The following is a 17,864-nucleotide window of genomic DNA, read 5'->3' on the forward strand; positions in this document are numbered from 1 at the left end:
AACACGGTGAAACCCCGTCTCTACTAAAAATACAAAAAATTAGCTGGGCACAGTGGCAGGCACCTGTAGTCCCAGCTACTCGGGAGGCTGAGGCAGGAGAATGGCGTGAACCCGGGAGGTGGAGCTTGCAGTGAGCGGAGATAGCACCACTGCAGTCCAGCCTGGGCAAAAGAGCGAGACTCCATCTCAAAAAAAAAAAAAAAAAAGTTTGGGGATTTGTTCATGTAGAAAAGAATTTCTTCAAGATGTTTTGTCTTCACCTGAACTTTCCATATTCCTGAGCTGATTTGTATTATGTACTCTTGATTAGTGATAATTTCAGGAATTTGGTGGCCTAAAATATTGTTGCCCACACCTTAAAATCTAATTGTCACAATCGATTTTTTATTAAGTAGTACTGGGCAATGAAATTAAGAACCTAAAAATTTTAAATATTTTCTAAAGATTTAGAAATTTCTCTTATAAATTGGTATTTGGGCATTAATTTACTAGAATATTATATTACATCCTCTTTACTGAGCACATTACTAAATTGGTAATTACAGAATATAAGCAAGATTCATCTTCTTTATTTTTAATAAAACAGGTATTGCTGTTTCTAAGCCAGACCTAATCACTTGTCTAGAGAAAGAAAAAGAACCCTGCAAGATGAAGCGACATGAAATGGTGGATGAACCCCCAGGTAGGTGAGAGTGAACACAACAGACAACACAGATGAGAGGTCCCAAGGCCAATAAGAAAGCCAGTCCTTAACAATGTGATTTGGGAAGCTATGTTTCAAAGAAAATATTTTCTGAAAAACTGTGTTCTAAAAAACTTTCAGCCTGGCACAGTGGTTCACACGTGTAATCCCAGCACTTTGGGAGGCTGAGGTGGGCGGATCACCTGGGGTCAGGCATTTGAGACCAGCCTGGCCAACATCATGAAACTGCATCTCTACTAACAGTACAAAAGTTCACTGGGCATGGTGTCACATGCCTGCAATCCCAGCTTCTCAGGAGGCTGAGGCAGGAGAATCGCTTGAATCTGGGAGGCGGAGGTTGCAGTGAGCTGAGATCACATCATTGCACTCCAGCCTGGGCAACAAGAGTGAAACTCCATCTCAAAAAAAAAAAAAAAAAAAAAAACCAAAAAAAAAAAAACACCCGTCTTGGTGACTGCCCTACAGAGCAAAGTCCTGAAGAATATTCATTCTGTTGAAAAATAAAATGGGGATTAACAACTACCAAAACCCCTTGTAACAAGCCAACTAAAGGTGGACCCTAGTACAGACCCCGCAGCCTTGTGACCAAGCTACAACCCCTCTCTATTACAAATCCATAGGGCATCTCAGCACCCTGGGGACCCAACAAAAGAGGCTTACCTCCTGAGGCCAGTTTATAAAAAATTGAAGAGGTGTCTGCTTCTTCACATTCACAGACACCAATGCAAAACTGTATTGTACCCATTGTTAATGCCTCTATTTTAATATAGTACTGGAAGTATGTGGCATAAATATTAGTCAAAAAAATAGAAAATAGGCTGAGCACGGTGGCTCATGTCTATAATCCCAGCACTTCAGGAGGCCAAGGCAGCTGGATCACCTGAGGTCAGGAGTTCCAGACCAGCCTGGCCAACTTGGCAAAACCCTGTCTCTACTAAAAAATACAAAAATTAGCTGAGCGTGGTGGCAGGCACCTGTAATCCTAGCTACTTGGGAGACTAAGGCAGGGAGAATTGCTTGAACCTAGGAGGCGGAGGTTGCAGTGAGCCAAGCTCATGCCACTGCACTCCAGCCTGGGTGATGGAGTGAGACTCTGTCTCAAAAAAAGAAAAAAAAAAAAAGCATTGAAATTGAAGACAAGTAAAAAGTTGCTGTTTGTAGATTATGTAATCTGACATTAAAAAACCATAAACAGTACATTAAAACCTGTCTAAACTAGTAAATGCCCTTAGTATATTAGCAACATACAAAATTAACATACAAGTATAAGTTATGGTTCCATACACTTAAACTATCTGATAGAAGAGAGGAAGAAAACAATCTTATTTACAATAGCATTAGAGTAATAAATTTCTGAAAACAAATTTAACCAAGGAGGTAAAAAGTATTTACAATTAAAAATATATCAATGAAAGAAATTTAAAAAGACGTAAATTTTAAAATATTTTGTATCTATGGATTGAAACAATAAATATTTTTGAAGTGCCATATTATTCAAAGTGATCTATAGATTCAGTGAATTCCCAATGAAAATTTCAGTGTTTTTTTTTTCACAGAAATGCAATTTTAAAATTTACATGAAACTACAATAAACTTTGACTAGCCAAAGCAATCTTGAGGAAAAAGAAAGCAAAAGAACATCATACTTCATAATGTCAAACTATATTTCAACACTATAGTAATACAAACATAGTGGAATGTGCAGAAAAATTAACAAAAAAACACTACTGGAACAGAAACCACTACTCTCAAACATTTTAGACATAATACAAAAAGAGAATCTAAAAAGTAGTTTAACAAAGAGTTTTTCAAAATTAGGCAGATACTTGTTTGTCCCCCAAAACAATGAAAAAGCAGTCAGATTATGCAGTATATTATATGCCATGAAGAGGGTTTTGGCTCACTGTAAGCTTGAACAAAGATCACTGAGGGGAAAGTAGAATCCTTAAAAAATATAAAAGCATAAGACAGAAGATGCCTCTATGTGAGAGGATTTTTTTTTTTTTTTTGGAGACGGTGGTCTCGCTTTGTCACCCAGGCTGGAGTGCAGTGGTGCAGTCTTGGTTCACTGCAACCTCGGCCTCCCGGGTTCAAGCGATTCTCCAACCTCAGCCTCCCAAGTAGCTGGGACTACAGGTGTGTGCCACCACACCTGGCTAATTTTGTATTTTTAGTAGAGACAGGGTTTCACCCTGTTGGCCAGGCTGGTCTTGAACTCCTGACAGGTGATCTGCCTGCCTCGGCCTCTCAAAGTGCTAGGATTACAGGCATGATCCACCTTGCCCGGTCCAAATTTTTTTTTTTTTCATTTCTAAGTATTTGAGAAACATAACATTTTAAAGTAATGGCTGCATTCTTGTTTTCCACAATGAACATGGGTTTCATTTTCATTGCATCATCAACAGCTTTGGTGTTTTTAAAAAAATTTACAGTTTCCATTCTTAATGGATGTGAGGTGATTTTGGTTTTCATTGTTATTTTCATGCATATCTCTACAAATTAGTGATCTTGTGTTCTTAAATGCTTTTTTTCCAGTTGTGCGTCTTTTTTGATGAAAATTTAGTTCAGTTGTTTTCCCATTTTAAAATCACATTATTCAACTTTATTGTTTAGTTTCAAGAGGTGTTTATATATTCTGAATATTAAATCATATCCATGTGATTTGCATACATTTTCATCCATTTCCTAAGAGACATTTTCACTGTATTGAACGTTTTCTCTGATGTGCAGAAATTTTTTAGTGCAGTTAAATTTTTCTATTTTCTTTCTTGCTCATACATTTAATGTTGTATCTAAGAAAATGCGGCCAAGTCCAATGTCATGTCTTTCTTCTATATTTTTTTCTAAGGGATTTGTTAGTGGTTCTTTTTTTTTTTAATGTCCAAGTATTTTATTTAAAATGTTTTTTGTATATGGTTCAAGGAAAGGACCCAACTTTATTTTACCAGTGTTTCTTTTGTTTTTTTTCAATACAGAGTCTTGCTCTGTTGCCCAGGCTGGAGTGTACCGGTGTAGTCTCAGCTCACTGCAACCTGTTTCCCGGGTTCAAGCAATTCTTCTGCCTCAACCTCCCAAGTAGCTGGGATTACAGGTGTATGCCACCACACCTGGCTAATTTTTTTGTATTTTTAGTAGAGATGGGGTTTCCCCATGTTGGCTAGGCTGTATTGATATCCAGTTTCCAATATTATTTTTTAAAGAGATTTTCTTTTCTCTGTTGTGTGCTCATGGCACACAACAGATCATATACAGAAGGGTATATTTCTGTGCTGTGTATTCTATTCTTTCATCTTTCATCTGTCTTGTCAGTACCACATTGTTTTTGTTACTGTAGCTTTTAATATGTTTTGAAATCAAAAAGTATAATGCCTCTTTATTCTTTTTCATGGGTGTTTGGCTATAGTTTATGATCAAATTTTACAATTTTAAACAATATTTCTGTAAAAAACTGTGCTATTGGGATTGTTTAGGGATTATATTAAATGTGTTTATCACTGTCTGTTGTATTGACATATTTGAAAAATTAAATTTTTGACCCCTAAGCAAGAAAATGTTGAAGAGCATGTTTTATTTTCATATATTTTTGGATTTTCCAGTTTTACTTTTGCTTTTAGTTCCTAGTTTTATTTAGTTTTGGCCACAAAACATAGTGTGTAATTTTGGTCTTTTAAATTTTATTTGTTGTTTTGAGACAGGAGCTTACTCTGTCACCCAGGTTGGAGTACAGTGGCATGATTTTGGCTCAACGCAGCCTCAACCTCCTGAGCTCAAGTGATCCTTCCATCTCAGTCTCCTGACTACAGACATGCACTACCATGTCTGGCTAGTGCAGTTTTTAATTATTTGTAGGGACAGGATTTCACTATGTTGCCCAGGCCTGGTCTCAAACTTGTGGCTCCAAGTGATCCTTCCACCTTGGTGTCTAATGTGTTGGGATTAAAGGCATGACCCACTGTACCCAGCCAATATTCCTAAATTTAGTAAGACTTGATTTGTGTCCTAACAGAATACACCAGGTGCAAATAAGGATATTTTGCTTTTGACTGGAGAGAATCTCTTGCTTTCAGCTGGAAAGTTGTTTTTTGTGTTTTTTTTTTTTTGTTCGTTTGTTTGTTTTTTTTTGAGACGGAGTATCGCTCTGTCGCCCAGGCTGGAGTGCAGTGGCGTGATCTCGGCTCACTGCAGGCTCCGCCTCCCGGGTTCACGCCATTCTCCTGCCTCAGCCTCCCGAGTAGCTGGGACTACAGGCATCCACCACCACGCCTGGCTAATTTTTTGTGTTTTTTCTTTTTTTTTTTTTTTTAGTAGAGATGGGGTTTCACCGTTTTAGCCGGGATGGTCTCGATCTCCTGACCTTGTGATCCGCCCGCCTCGGCCTCCCAAAGTGCTGGGATTACAGGCGTGAGCCACCGCGCCCGGCCTTGTTTTTATTTTTTAAAGAAGTGTATTCATGTATCATCCTAATAGTCAGTAATCACTTGCTACACCTGTTCCCTGTCTGTGGTACTGCAGTCACTCCACTCCTGTAACATTTACCTTTGGTCTCAGCAGACTCAAACTCTCATTGTGAAGTATACCACCATTTCTTTCCTTCTTTCTTTCTTTCTTTCTTTCTTTCTTTCTCTTTTCTTTTCTTTCCTTTCCTTTCTTTTCTTCTTTCTTTCTTTCTTTCTTTTTTACTTTCTTTCTTTCTTTCTTTCTTTTTCTTTTCTTTCTTTCTTTCTTTCTTTCTTTCTTTCTTTCTTTCTTTCTTTCTTTCTTTCTTTCTTTCTTTCTTTCTTTCTTTCTTTCTTCTTTCTTTCTTTCTTTCCTTCTTTTTCTTTTTTTGAGACAGAGTCTTGCTCTGTTGCCCAGGCTGGAGTGCAGTGGTACGGTCTCAGCTCACTGCAACCTCCACTTTCTGGGTTCAAGTGATTCTCCTGCCTCAGCCTTCTGAGTAGCTGGGATTATAGGTGCCTGCCATCACGCCCAGCTAATTTTTTGTATTTTTAGTAGAGACAGGGTTTCACCATGTTGGCCAGGCTGGTTTCGAACTCCTGACTTTATGATCTGCCCGCCTTGGCCTCCAAAGTGCTGGGATTACAGGCATGAGCCACCGCGCCTGACCAAAGTATACCACCATTTCTTTCAGCAGTTTATGTTGTGGGAAGCTAAATCCAGCATCTGGTAATATCCTAGAAGCCAGAAATAAAGATGTATGTGCCAATATATTTCTTGTCTTTTAAAAACAAAATGAGGAGCTGGCAATTTACTTCCAAAGGCACTGTGTTTTATTGGGGAACAGGAAGAGCTGTGTTGGGTAACTGTAACAGAAATGTTTTTCATTCTATGTGACTCTTTGCATTGTACTCACCTGGGGCGTTGTACACATATAACTTATTGATAAATTATCCACTAATATATTTTGGTTAGTATGTCTTTGTTATATTTATATGTTTATGAAGAAATTAGAATCTGGTATTTTGCTATGCTGTGTTGCTTACGTAGTTTTTATAACTTTAGAGGTTTTGTTTGTGACGTATATATATCTGAGTCTAGTAAGTGAAGTAATTTGTTGTTTTAATTTTATTTTAGTTGTGTGTTCTCATTTTGCTGAAGACTTTTGGCCAGAGCAAGACATAAAAGATTCTTTCCAAAAAGTGACACTGAGGAGATATGATAAACGTGGACATGAGAACTTACAATTAAGAAAAGGCTATAAAACTGTAGGTGATTGTAAGCTATACAAAGGAGGTTATAATGGACTTAACCAATGTTTGACACTTACCCAGAGCAAAATGTATCACTGTGATATATATGTAAAAGTCTTTTATGCATTTTCAAATGCAGATAGATACAAGACAAGACATACTGGAAAGAAACCTTTCCAGTGTAAAAAATGTGGCAAATCATTTTGCATGCTTTCACAACTAACTCAACATAAGAAAATTCATATTAGAGAGAATACCTACAGATGTAAAGAATTTGGCAATGCCTTTAATCAGTCCTCAGCCCTTACTAACCATAAGAGAATTTATGTTGGTGAGAAACACTACAGATGTGAAGAATGTGGCAAAGCATTTAACCACTACTCAACCCTTACTAACCATAAGAGAATTCATACTGGAGAGAAACCCTACAAATGTAAAGAATGTGGCAAAGCCTTTAGCAGGTACTCAACCCTTACTACCCATAAGAGAATTCATTCTGGAGAGAAGCCCTACAAATGTGATGAATGTGGCAAAACCTTTAGCATATCCTCAACCTTTACTAAACATAAGATAATTCATACTGAAGAGAAACCCTACAAATGTAAAGAATGTGGCAAAGCCTTTAACCGGTCCTCAACCCTTACTAGCCATAAGAGAATACATACTGGTGAGAAACCCTACAAATGTGAAGAATGTGGCAAAGCCTTTAACTGGTCTTCAACTCTTACTAAACATAAGGTAATTCATACTGGAGAGAAGCCCTACAAATGTGAAGAATGTGGCAAAGCTTTTAACCAGTCTTCAAGACTTACTCGACATAAAAAAATTCATACTGGAGAGGAACCCTACAAATTTGAAAAATGTGGCAGAGTTTTTACCTGTTCCTCAACACTTACTCAAGACAAGAAAATTCATACTGGAGAGAAACCCTACAATTGTGAAGAATGTGGCAAAGTTTTTACCTATTCCTCTACACTTACTAGACATAAGAGAATTCATACTGAAGAGAAACCCTATAAATGTAACGAATGTGGCAAAGCTTTTAACCGGTCCTCACACCTTACTAGCCATAGGAGAATTCATACTGGAGAGAAACCCTACAAATGTGAAGAATGTGGCAAAGCCTTTAAGCAGTCCTCAAACCTTAACAGTCATAAAAAAATTCATAGTGGAGAGAAACCCTACAAATGTGAAGAATGTGGCAAAGCTTTTATCCTGTCCTCAAGACTTACTCAACATAAGAAAATTCATACTGGAGAGAAACCTTACAAATGTGAAGAATGTGGCAAAGCTTTTAACCGGTCCTCAAGACTTACTCAACATAAGAAAATTCATACTGGAGAGAAACCCTACAAATGTAAACAATGTGACAAAGCTTTTACCCACTCCTCAAACCTTAGTAGTCATAAGAAAATTCATAGTGGAGAGAAACCCTACAAATGTGAAGAATGTGGCAAAGCTTTTAATCGGTCCTCAAGACTTACTCAACATAAGAAAATTCATACTAGAGAGAAACCTTACAAATGTGAAGAATGTGCCAAAGCTTTTACCCGGTCTTCAAGACTTACTCAACATAAGAAAATTCATAGGATGGGTGTGGTGGCTCATGCCTGTAATCCCAGCACTTTGGGAGGCAGAGGTGGGCGGATCACGAGGTCAGGAGATCGAGACCGTCCTGGCTAACATGGTGAAACCCCGTCTCTACTAAAAATACAAAAAAAAAAAAAAAAAAAATTAGCCAGGCGTGGTGGTGGGCACTTGTAGTCCCACCTACTCGGGAGGCTGAGGCAGGAGAATGGCCTGAACCCGGAGGTGGAGCTTGCATTGAGCCAAGATCACACCACTGCACTCCAGCCTGGGTGACAGAGCCAGACTCCATCTCAAAAAAAAAAAAAAAAAAAAAAGAAAAGAAAATTCATAGGCCAGGTATGGTGGCTCATGCCTGCCTGTAATCCCAGCACTTTGGGAGGCCGAGGCGGGTGGATCACGAGGTCAGGAGTTCAAGACCAGCCTGGTCAACATGGTAAAACCCCATCTCTACTAAAAATACAAAAATTAGCTGGATGTGGTGGCACATGCCTGTAGTCCTAGCTACTTGGGAGGCTGAGGCAGGAGAATTGCTTGAACCTGGGAGCCAGAGGTAGCAGTGAGCTGAGATCACGCCACTACACTCCAGCCTGGATGACAAAACAAGACTCTGTCTAAAAAATATATAAATAAATAAAAGAAAGAAAATTCATAGTAGAGAGAAACCTTACAAATGTGTAGAATGTGGCAAAACTCGTTTTAACTAATGCTCACATCTTATTGCATAGAAAAGCATTTATACCTGAAAAAAGGTATACAAATTTAAAAAATGTGGAAAAGCCATTAAAATCTGTTCACATCTTAACAACAGAGAGTTGATACTTAATAAGAGCATTGTAAGTGCAATTACTGTCAAACAATCTTGTAGAAAATATCATCCTTTAAAGTGAATGAGACTAGTCTGAGGAAAAACATTACAAATGTAAAGAGGGTTATAGTGCATTTACTTGTATCACAGATCTTGTTGTACACATTTTATACTAGAGGAAAACCCTGAAGCAGTTGCACCAACTTTGTTCAACATCAGAAATTTATATTGGAGAAAAATCCAGCAAGTGTAATAAATTTGGAAAAACTTTTTTTTCCCCAAAAACTATACCTCAGGAAACAATGGAGAGTTTATATTAACATATATTTTTGCATATGGCCATATGTATAAAAATATTTAATTCAAAATTGAATTTAAAAAGTCTACATAAATATCATACATAGATATGTATGATATTGAATACATGTATTAAATACATAGAATATGATATTTAATACATAGAAAAGTCTACATGAATATCAGAATTTACAGTAGAAACAACTAAGACACAAACACTTGAGACATTACACTAAAGTGCTGAGTATAGAAAATAAAACTAAAGTTGTTAAATTATTTGTATATAACTTTTAAAAGAGTGGAAGATATTTTGCAAAGTTATATTCAAAGTGTACTTTTTATTTATTTTTTTGAGATGGAGTCTCACTTTGTTGCCTACGTTGGAGTTCAGTGGCACAATTTCAGCTTGCTGCCAACTTCGACCTTTGGGTTCAAGCAGTTCTCCTGCCACAGCCTCCTGAGTAGCTGGGAATACAGGCATACACCAGCATGTCTGGCTATTTTTTTTTTTTTTTGTATTTTTAGTAGAGATGAGATTTCACCATTTTGTCCAGGGTGGTCTCAAACTCTTCATCTCAAGTGATCTGCCCACCTTGGCCTCCCAGAGTGCTGGGATTGCAGCCATGAGCCACTGCACCCAGCCCAAAGTATGCTTTTAAAAATATGTATATATATAAAATTTTTGAAAAGCAAATTATGATATAATTCAAGTATCAAATTACTTCATGCTGTTTCATTGTTCCTATTCACATGTGAAAGCATGTGATCAATTATTGCTGCATCACATATAGACTCATTAGGTGGAAATTATGGCCTCTTCTGTAAAAAAGTAAGGACATTAAAATGTAAGATGCTTGATGAAAATCTAAGTGGAGAGGCTCTTTGTGGTTAACTTATTGAGTGATGTATGAGGTCGATGTTCAGAGTAATATGCCTCTGTATTACAGTGATAGAAAATATTTTTTAGTTAAAAGTGAATTTATAATAAAATTGTAAATCATTTTAGTGATTGAGCTTTTATGTTATAAAATGCAGTATATTTCAAAATTTTTAAATTATATGTAAATTTGATTTTATTTGTTACCATGTTAAGACTATTGTGCATTTAATGAAGCATTATTATGCTATCAACTTTAACCTATCCCACGTTACTCAAGGGTGTAGCTAAATGAAGGTAGCAGTATGCTATTTAGTAACATAGTGGAATAGCATCTCTAGTAATCTCTTTTGCCAGTAGCTTTAACTGGCAGATAAGTTAATATTGTTCCCATAGGTTAAATATTTATCCTTTTTTTGATATTTAAATTTTTTTCTTATTTTTTTGTGGGTACATAATATGTGTATATATTTATGCAAATCTGGCATATTTTGATAGAGGCATACAATATGTAATAATTACATCAATTACATCAGGGTAAATTATGTAGCCATTACTTGTAACATTTATCTTTTACAAACAACTCAATTATGCACTTTTAGTTATTTTAAAGTGTACAATTAAATTGCTATTGACTGCATGGTTATCTTTGTGGTATAAAAATTTATATATAAGTATAAATAAACTCATTTCTGAGTCTTAAATAGATATTTTCAATTATTTGTAATATATTTTTATTTGAACATTTGGCCTCTCTGCCTGCAAACACACACAGACTTTTAGCTTTGATTTACATAGAGTTAAATGTACACATGTGTGGCTGTAAAGATAAATCTTAGATGTAAGAAAATTATACAGTTATTAAGTGTCTTTGTGTGAATACACCTAATTTTTTTGAAGAGTAATATTGGAACAAAAAGAATCATTTTATTAAGGTTGCTAATATACTAGAAAACAAAAAACCTCAAAAATGCTGAAAGCAAATCTATACTCTCTTTTTATTGAATTTATTACTGTAAAATTTTATGGCTATAGTTCAGAATCTCCCCATGCAAATTCTCTGTATTTATTTGCCTGGTACTCATGCTAGGCCCTTAATTTTTTTGTGTGTTTTATATATTTTTTGTTGTATAGTTTATGAAGTATTCATTATGTGAGCTGGTCAGAGATTATAATAAATTTTATAAAATTGAGTAATGCACACAAGATAATTTTTAGATATAATTTTAAAATAGTGTATTTACATTTTATTTAGTTAGGGCATTCCATTTTATTAACTGGAGAACCCTATATAAGCATTTTTTAAAAATTATTGCTTCTTTTCACTTTTATAAGTGACAAGTAAATTTATTAATTGAGTCAATTTGTTCAGGTAAGTACTAGGGAGACTTCATAAGTCATGAGGATGTTTTTATATATAAATGTAGCAAACAAATATGAAAGTTCCTCCTGTGTCACAGACGCTCCATAATAAGCCATAAATATTCCTGCTGGAGTTAGTTTGTATTTTCAAGTCAGAGATGAAAAATATCCATGGTGAAGAAATCTTCATGTGGCGAAGGCATTTTTGTCCAGGCTGCAAAGCTGACTCTTAATGAATTTAAAGAGAAATTTTGCTTCTCTTGTTTCTTATCCTGTTTTGTTTGTCTTATGTGTATTCCAAGGTTGTATGCATTACAATGAACTACAGTACTTCTTTTACTGTGTTATGGCAACAGTTTTCTCACTGTTGTCTTCATTTCACATGGTACTTTGAAGGTTCTAATGAGAAAGTTTTGTTTTGTTTTGTTTTGTTTGAGATGGAGTTTCGCTCTTGTTGCCCAGGCTGGAGTGCAGTGGCACGATCTCTGCTCACTACAACTTCCCCCTACCGGGTTCAAGCGATTCTCCTGCCTCAGCTTCCTCAGTAGTTGGGATTACAGGTATGCACCACCACGCCTGGCTAATTTTGTATTTTTAGTAGAGACGGGGTTTCTCCATGTTGGTCTGGCTAGTCTCAAACTCCCGACCTCATGTGATTCGCGCAAAGTGACTTGGCCTCCCAAAGTGTTGGGATTGCAGGAGTGAGCCACCACACCTGGCTGAAAGTTTATTTTTTAATGCACTGAAAAAGTGGTTTTAACTGGGGAATTTGCTTATCAATATAACTTTTGGATTGATAAAATAAGAGGCACACGTTTTTCCTGGGTGAGAGAATTACATCACTTAGCATTGTTTGTCTGTAAAAGAAAAATCTTTATGTATTTTATTTTTTTGAGATGGAGTCTTGCTCTTGTCACCCAGGCTGGAGTGCAGTGATGCAGTCTTGACTCACTGCAACCTCTGCCTCCTATGTTGCCGCAATCTCCTGAATAGCTGGGATTACAAGCACCCGCAACCACGCCTGGTTAATTTCTGTATTTTAGTAGAGATGGGGTTTCAGCCTGTTGGCCAGGCTGGTCTAGAACTCCTGACCTCAGATGATCTGCCCGCCTCAGCCTCCCAAAGTGCTGGGATTGCAGGATTGAGTCACTGTGCCTGGCTGGAAAAATCTATTAGATTCTTACACAAAGTGTGGTAAATATCAATTTTGTTAGAAACTCATTTTGTATTCCATTTTTTTGTTTGTTTGTTTCTTTGTTTTTGTTTTTTTGAGATGAAGTCTTGCTCTGTTGCCCAGGCTGGAGTGCACTGGCAATATCTTGGCTCACTGCAACCTTCACCTCCTGGGTTCAAGTGCTTCTCCTGTTTCAGCCTCCCAAGTAGCTGGGATTATGGGCCTGCGCCATCACATCCACCTAATTTTTGTATTTTTAGTAGAGATGGGGTTTCACCATGTTGGCCAGGCCGATCTTGAACTCCTGACCCCAAGTGATCCACCCACCTTGTCTTCTGAAAGTGCTAGGATTACATGCGTGAGCTACCATACCTGGCCAGGAACCATCTTTGAAGTTATATTTTTTTTTTTCCCCTTTTGAGATGGAGTCTCGCTGTATTGCCGAGGCTGGAGTTCAGTGGCATGATCTTGGCTCACTGCATCCTCCACCTCCCCAGTTCAACAATTCTCCTGCCTCAGCCTCCTGAGTAGCTGGGATTACAGGTGCTCACCACCACACCCAGCTAATTTTTGTATTTTTTGTAGAGATGGGTTTCACTATGTTGGTCAGGCTGGTCTCGAGCTCCTGACCTTGACGTGCACTCTTTGTGGACACCAGGACACAAACTCTCTGTGGAGTCAGCAAGCAAAACGACAGCGGAACACAACAGCAGAAGACCCAGAGACAGAACATGCATACAGGGTGTGAGGAGGGGAGCTCAGGTCAAACTTCACATTGTCCAGAGAGACAGCAAATTAGAGGAGGAGGAAGGTGATCAGCAGGAGAGACATCTGCAGGGAAAAAAATGTAACCCAGAGATAATTTAAAGTTTTTTAAACAAATGAAAAATATTTTAGGGCAAGTGTAAGTTAAGAGGAGGTATTTCAGCAAGACTTAGCATTAGACATAAAATCAAACTAATATGGACTGCAATAATTGTTAAAGAAATTTGTATTAACTAGTTGATAAAATCAATGTATACTGCTTGGATCTGCAGTGAACGATAGTTAACCACTTTGCAGCGTTTACTGACTACAGTTTTAGGTAAAAATTACGCTATTAGTATTCCAAATTACTAGAGGGATGGGGAAGGGAAGTTGACAGAAAAGTGGTTCTCAAGTGTATGTTAGTATTGAAGGGTAATTTGTAGAGCTTATATGGTTTAGGTTCAAATGGAGAAAGAATGATTTAAAAACTGAGAGGGGGAGAAGAACTAGGCTGTATAAAAAACTGCGGCCAGGCACGGTGGCTCAGGCCTCCCAGCACTTTGGGAGGCCGAGGTGGGTGGATCACCTGAAGTCAGGAGTCCAAGACCAGCCTGGTCAGCATGGTGAAACCCCGTCTCTACTAAAAATACAAAAATTAGCTGGGTGTGGTGGCGCATGCCTGTAATCCCAGCTACTTGGGAGGCTGAGGCAGGTGAATTGTTTGAACCTGGGAGGAGGAGGTTGCAGTGAGCTGAGATCACTCCATTGCCCTCCAAACTGGGCGACGAGCAAAACTTCTCTGAATGAATGAATGAATGAGCAAATTGAGATCCCCTGAAGCAGCAGATGCTGTGAAACTGGATGTTCTAGTACCAAACATAACAAAGGACTAATAAAGAGGGGAACAAATTTAAAATAGTTTATGTGTCGACTAGTTTATGTATCTAAAAAGTAAAAATTAGGCCAGGCGCAATGCCTCATGTCTATAATCCCAGCACTTTGGGAGGCCGAGGTGGGAGTATCACCTGAGATTGGGATTTCAAGAGCAGCCTGACAGAGAAACCCCGTCTTTACTAAAAATACAAAAATTAGCTGGGTGTAGTGGCTCATGCCTGTAATGCCAGTCACTCGGGAGGCTGAGGCAGGAGAATCGCTTGAACCCGGGAGGCAGAGGTTGTGGTGAGTGGAGATCATGCCATTGCACTCCAGCCTGAGCAACAAGAGTGAAACTCCATCTCAAAAAAAAAGATAAAAATTAGGAGTCGATTTCACCATATAGTTTAAAACAAATTCATAGTTTTTTTTTGTTTGTTTGTTTTTTTGAGACTCTCACTGTCACCCAGACTGGAGTGCAGTGGTGCAACCTTGGCTCAATGCAGCCTTCATCTCCTGGGTTCAAGTGATTCTCCTACCTCAGCTTTCTGAGTAGCTGGGATTACAGGCATGCGCTACCACACCCAGCTTATTTGTGTATATTTAGTAGAGATGGAGTTTCACCATGTTGGCCAGACATGTCTCAAACTCCTGACCTCAAGTGACCTGCCCGCCTTGGCCTCCCAAAGTGCTGGGATTACAGGCATGAGCCACTGTGCCCAGCAAGAATTTTGTAATGCATTTATCCTGAATATACCTGCTTAGCAAAATACCATAATTTTCTACATACATTTCTAAATACATTTAGGCTTATTTTCTACAAATATTATTCTGGACATCTTATAAATGCTAGGAACACTCTGGAAGAATGAATGTATTGAGTTTTACAGTATTTCAGGTATCTACCTAGAGTATTAAATATTTCTTGTTTTTTGTTTTTTTGTTGTTTTTTTGAGATGGAGTCTCACTCTGTCGCCCAGGCTGGAGTGCAGTGGCGCAATCTCGGCTCACTGCAAGCTCCGCCTCTCAGGTTCACGCCATTCTCCTGCCTCAGCCTCCCGACTAGCTGGGACTACAAGCGCCTGCCACCGTGCCCGGCTAATTTTTTTGTATTTTTTTTTTAGTAGAGACGGGGTTTCACGGTGGTCTCCATCTCCTGACCTCCTGATCCGCCCACCTCGGCCTCCCAAAGTGCTGGGATTACAGGCGTGAGCCAACATGCCCGGCAAATATTTCTTAATCAAAATCCAATCTCTAAGGAATCTATTTAGAAATTTTAGTAGATTCTAATAAAAATGTTTTCCTGGAATATTTTGTGAGGCGCATTATGCAGATCCTGGAAATATTAAGCGAATTAAAGCCTCTAAGCCTTTTTTTTTTTTTTTTTTTTTGAGATGGAGTCTAGCTCTGTTGCCCAGGCTGGAGTGCAGTGGTGCAATCTTGGCTCACTGCAACCTCTGCCTCCAGGGTTCAAGCAATTCTCCTGCCTCAGCCTCCCGAGTAGCTGTGACTACAGGTGTGAGCTACCATGCCTGGCTATTTTTTGGATTTTTAGTAGAAATGGGTTTCACCATGTTTGCCAGGCTGGTTTTGAACTCCTGACCTAAAGTGATCTGCCCACCTCCACCTCCCAAAGTGCTGGGATTACAGGCATGAGCCACCACGCTCAGCCTCCAAGCCTAAATTTTTTTATTTTCCTGAATGCAATTTAAGGAATTTTATTTCCTGAATGCAATTTAAGGAATTTTAAATTGACCATTTGTCAATTTAAAAGGGTACTAAGGCTATAAGAACTCAGTCATATGGACGCACACACAGACACACAGAAAATATTAATCAGGTAAGTTGTGACATCAAGTAGGCAAAAACCCAAATTATTTCTGAAAAGTTTCCTAGTTCGTTTTAATATTTCAATATTCTTCTGAATATTCTACTTTTTGCCATTTTTTTTTGCTTCCCTCTTTGCTATATAAATGGAAGGCAACACACATCCTATTGTTGAGCTCTTCAAAGAAGCCTTGGATAGAGAATATGAAGACTATTCCAGATTTTTCTTTGAGTGTAGACATCTTTGACAGTTTTCAAATTAAAGAAGTATACAGGACAGGTGCGGTGGTTCACATTTGTTATCTTAACACTTTGGGAGGCTGAGTCGGGTGGATCACCTGCGGTCAGGAGTTTGAGACCAGCTGGACCAACAGAGTGAAACCACAGCTCTACTAAAAATATAAAAATTAGCCAGGCATGGTGGCATGCGCCTGTAGTCCCAGCTACTTGAGAGGCTGAGGCAGGAGAACTGCTTAAACCCGGGAGGTGGAGGTTGCAGTGAGCCAAGATAGCACCACTGCACTGCAGCCTGGGAGACAGAGTGAGACTCTGTCTCAAAAAAAAAAACAAAACAAAAAAACTACAACTAGAAATACTCTATTATGTAGGATACATGGTACTGTCTTTATAACAATTATCTTTGCTTCAGTTTTTTTAAATTACTTTTATTACTAAGTTTGGAAATTTTGTTTACTTAAGTTATTGTCAGCACAGGCTAATTTCAAACTGTAATATTGGAATTAACAGAGTTTTGTAAGGATTTTTGTTTCTGCAAAATGTCCTCAATGTATGCACAAGTTTTTATATCCTAGAAACAATGTTAATTAGGGGACTTTTGTGTAAAATTGGTCTTCAACGGGGTTCAAATCGTGGTGTATATACATATATAAATATATATATATATAAATATATAGATGATTTTATTTTTTATGTTTTTAAATTTAAATTTTTTAATTTCTGTGATACATGTGCAAAACATGTAGGTTTGTTACATATGTATACATGTGCCATGGTGGTTTGCTGCACCTATCAACACATCATCTAGGTTTTAAGCCCCACATGAATTAGGTATTTGTCCTAATGCTCTCCCTCCCATTGCCCCCCACACCCTGACAGGCCCCAGTATGTGATGTTCCCCTTCCTGTCTCCATGTGTTCTCGTCGTTCAGTTCCCACTTATGAGTGAGAAAATGTGGTGTTTGATTTTCTGTTCCTGTGTTAGTTTGCTGAGAATTATGGCTTCCAATTTCATCCATGCCCCTGCAAAGGACATGAACTCATTCTTTTTTATGGCTGCATAGTATTCTGTGGTGTATATGTGCCACATTTTCTTATCCAGTCTATCATTGATGGACATTTGGGTTGGTTCCAAGTCTTTGCTACTGTAAAGAGTTCTGCAATAAACATGTGTGCATGTGTGTTTATAGTATAATGATTTATAATCCTTTGGGTACATACCCAGTAATGGGATTGCTTGGTCGAATGGTATTTCTGGTTCTAGATTCTTAAGGATTGCCACATTGTCTTCCACAATGGTTGAACTAATTTACAGTCCTACCAACAGTGTAAAAGCATTTCTCCACAGCCTCACGAGCATCTGTTGTTTCCTGACTTTTTAATAATTGCCATTCTAACTGGCATGAGATAGTATCTCATTGTGGTTTGATTTGCATTTCTCTAACGACTAGTGATGATGAACTTTTTTTCATACGTTTTTTGGCCACATAAATGTCTTTTGAGAAATGTCTCTTTATATCCTTTGCCCACTTTTTGATGGGGTTGTTTTTTTCTTATAAATTTTTTTAAGTTCCTTGTATATTCTGGATATTAGACCTTTGTCAGATGAGTATCTTGCAAAATTTTTCTCCCATTCTGTAGGTTGCCTGTTCACCCTGGTGATAGTTTCTTTTGCTGTGCAGA

At 38.0% G+C, this 17,864-nt stretch overlaps 1 protein-coding gene across 9 annotated transcripts in view; it reads left to right on the plus strand.

The window, feature by feature from the left end:
* The window catches only part of ZNF429 (zinc finger protein 429), a 35,067-nt gene extending 24,401 nt beyond the window's left edge, over positions 1-10,666 (plus strand). For all 9 annotated transcript variants that reach the window (XM_047438765.1, NM_001346914.2, NM_001346912.2 and 6 more), the window contains 2 exons: positions 587-682; positions 6,278-10,666. In XM_047438765.1, coding sequence (XP_047294721.1) covers positions 587-682; positions 6,278-8,076 — 1,895 coding nt within the window. In that variant the 3' untranslated portion in view covers positions 8,077-10,666. The remainder of the gene's footprint in view (positions 1-586; positions 683-6,277) is intronic.
* The last annotated feature ends 7,198 nt before the right edge of the window (positions 10,667-17,864 follow it).

This window comes from Homo sapiens, chromosome 19 (assembly GCF_000001405.40).
Source record: "Homo sapiens chromosome 19, GRCh38.p14 Primary Assembly".
Classification (NCBI taxonomy): Eukaryota; Metazoa; Chordata; class Mammalia; order Primates; family Hominidae; genus Homo; species Homo sapiens.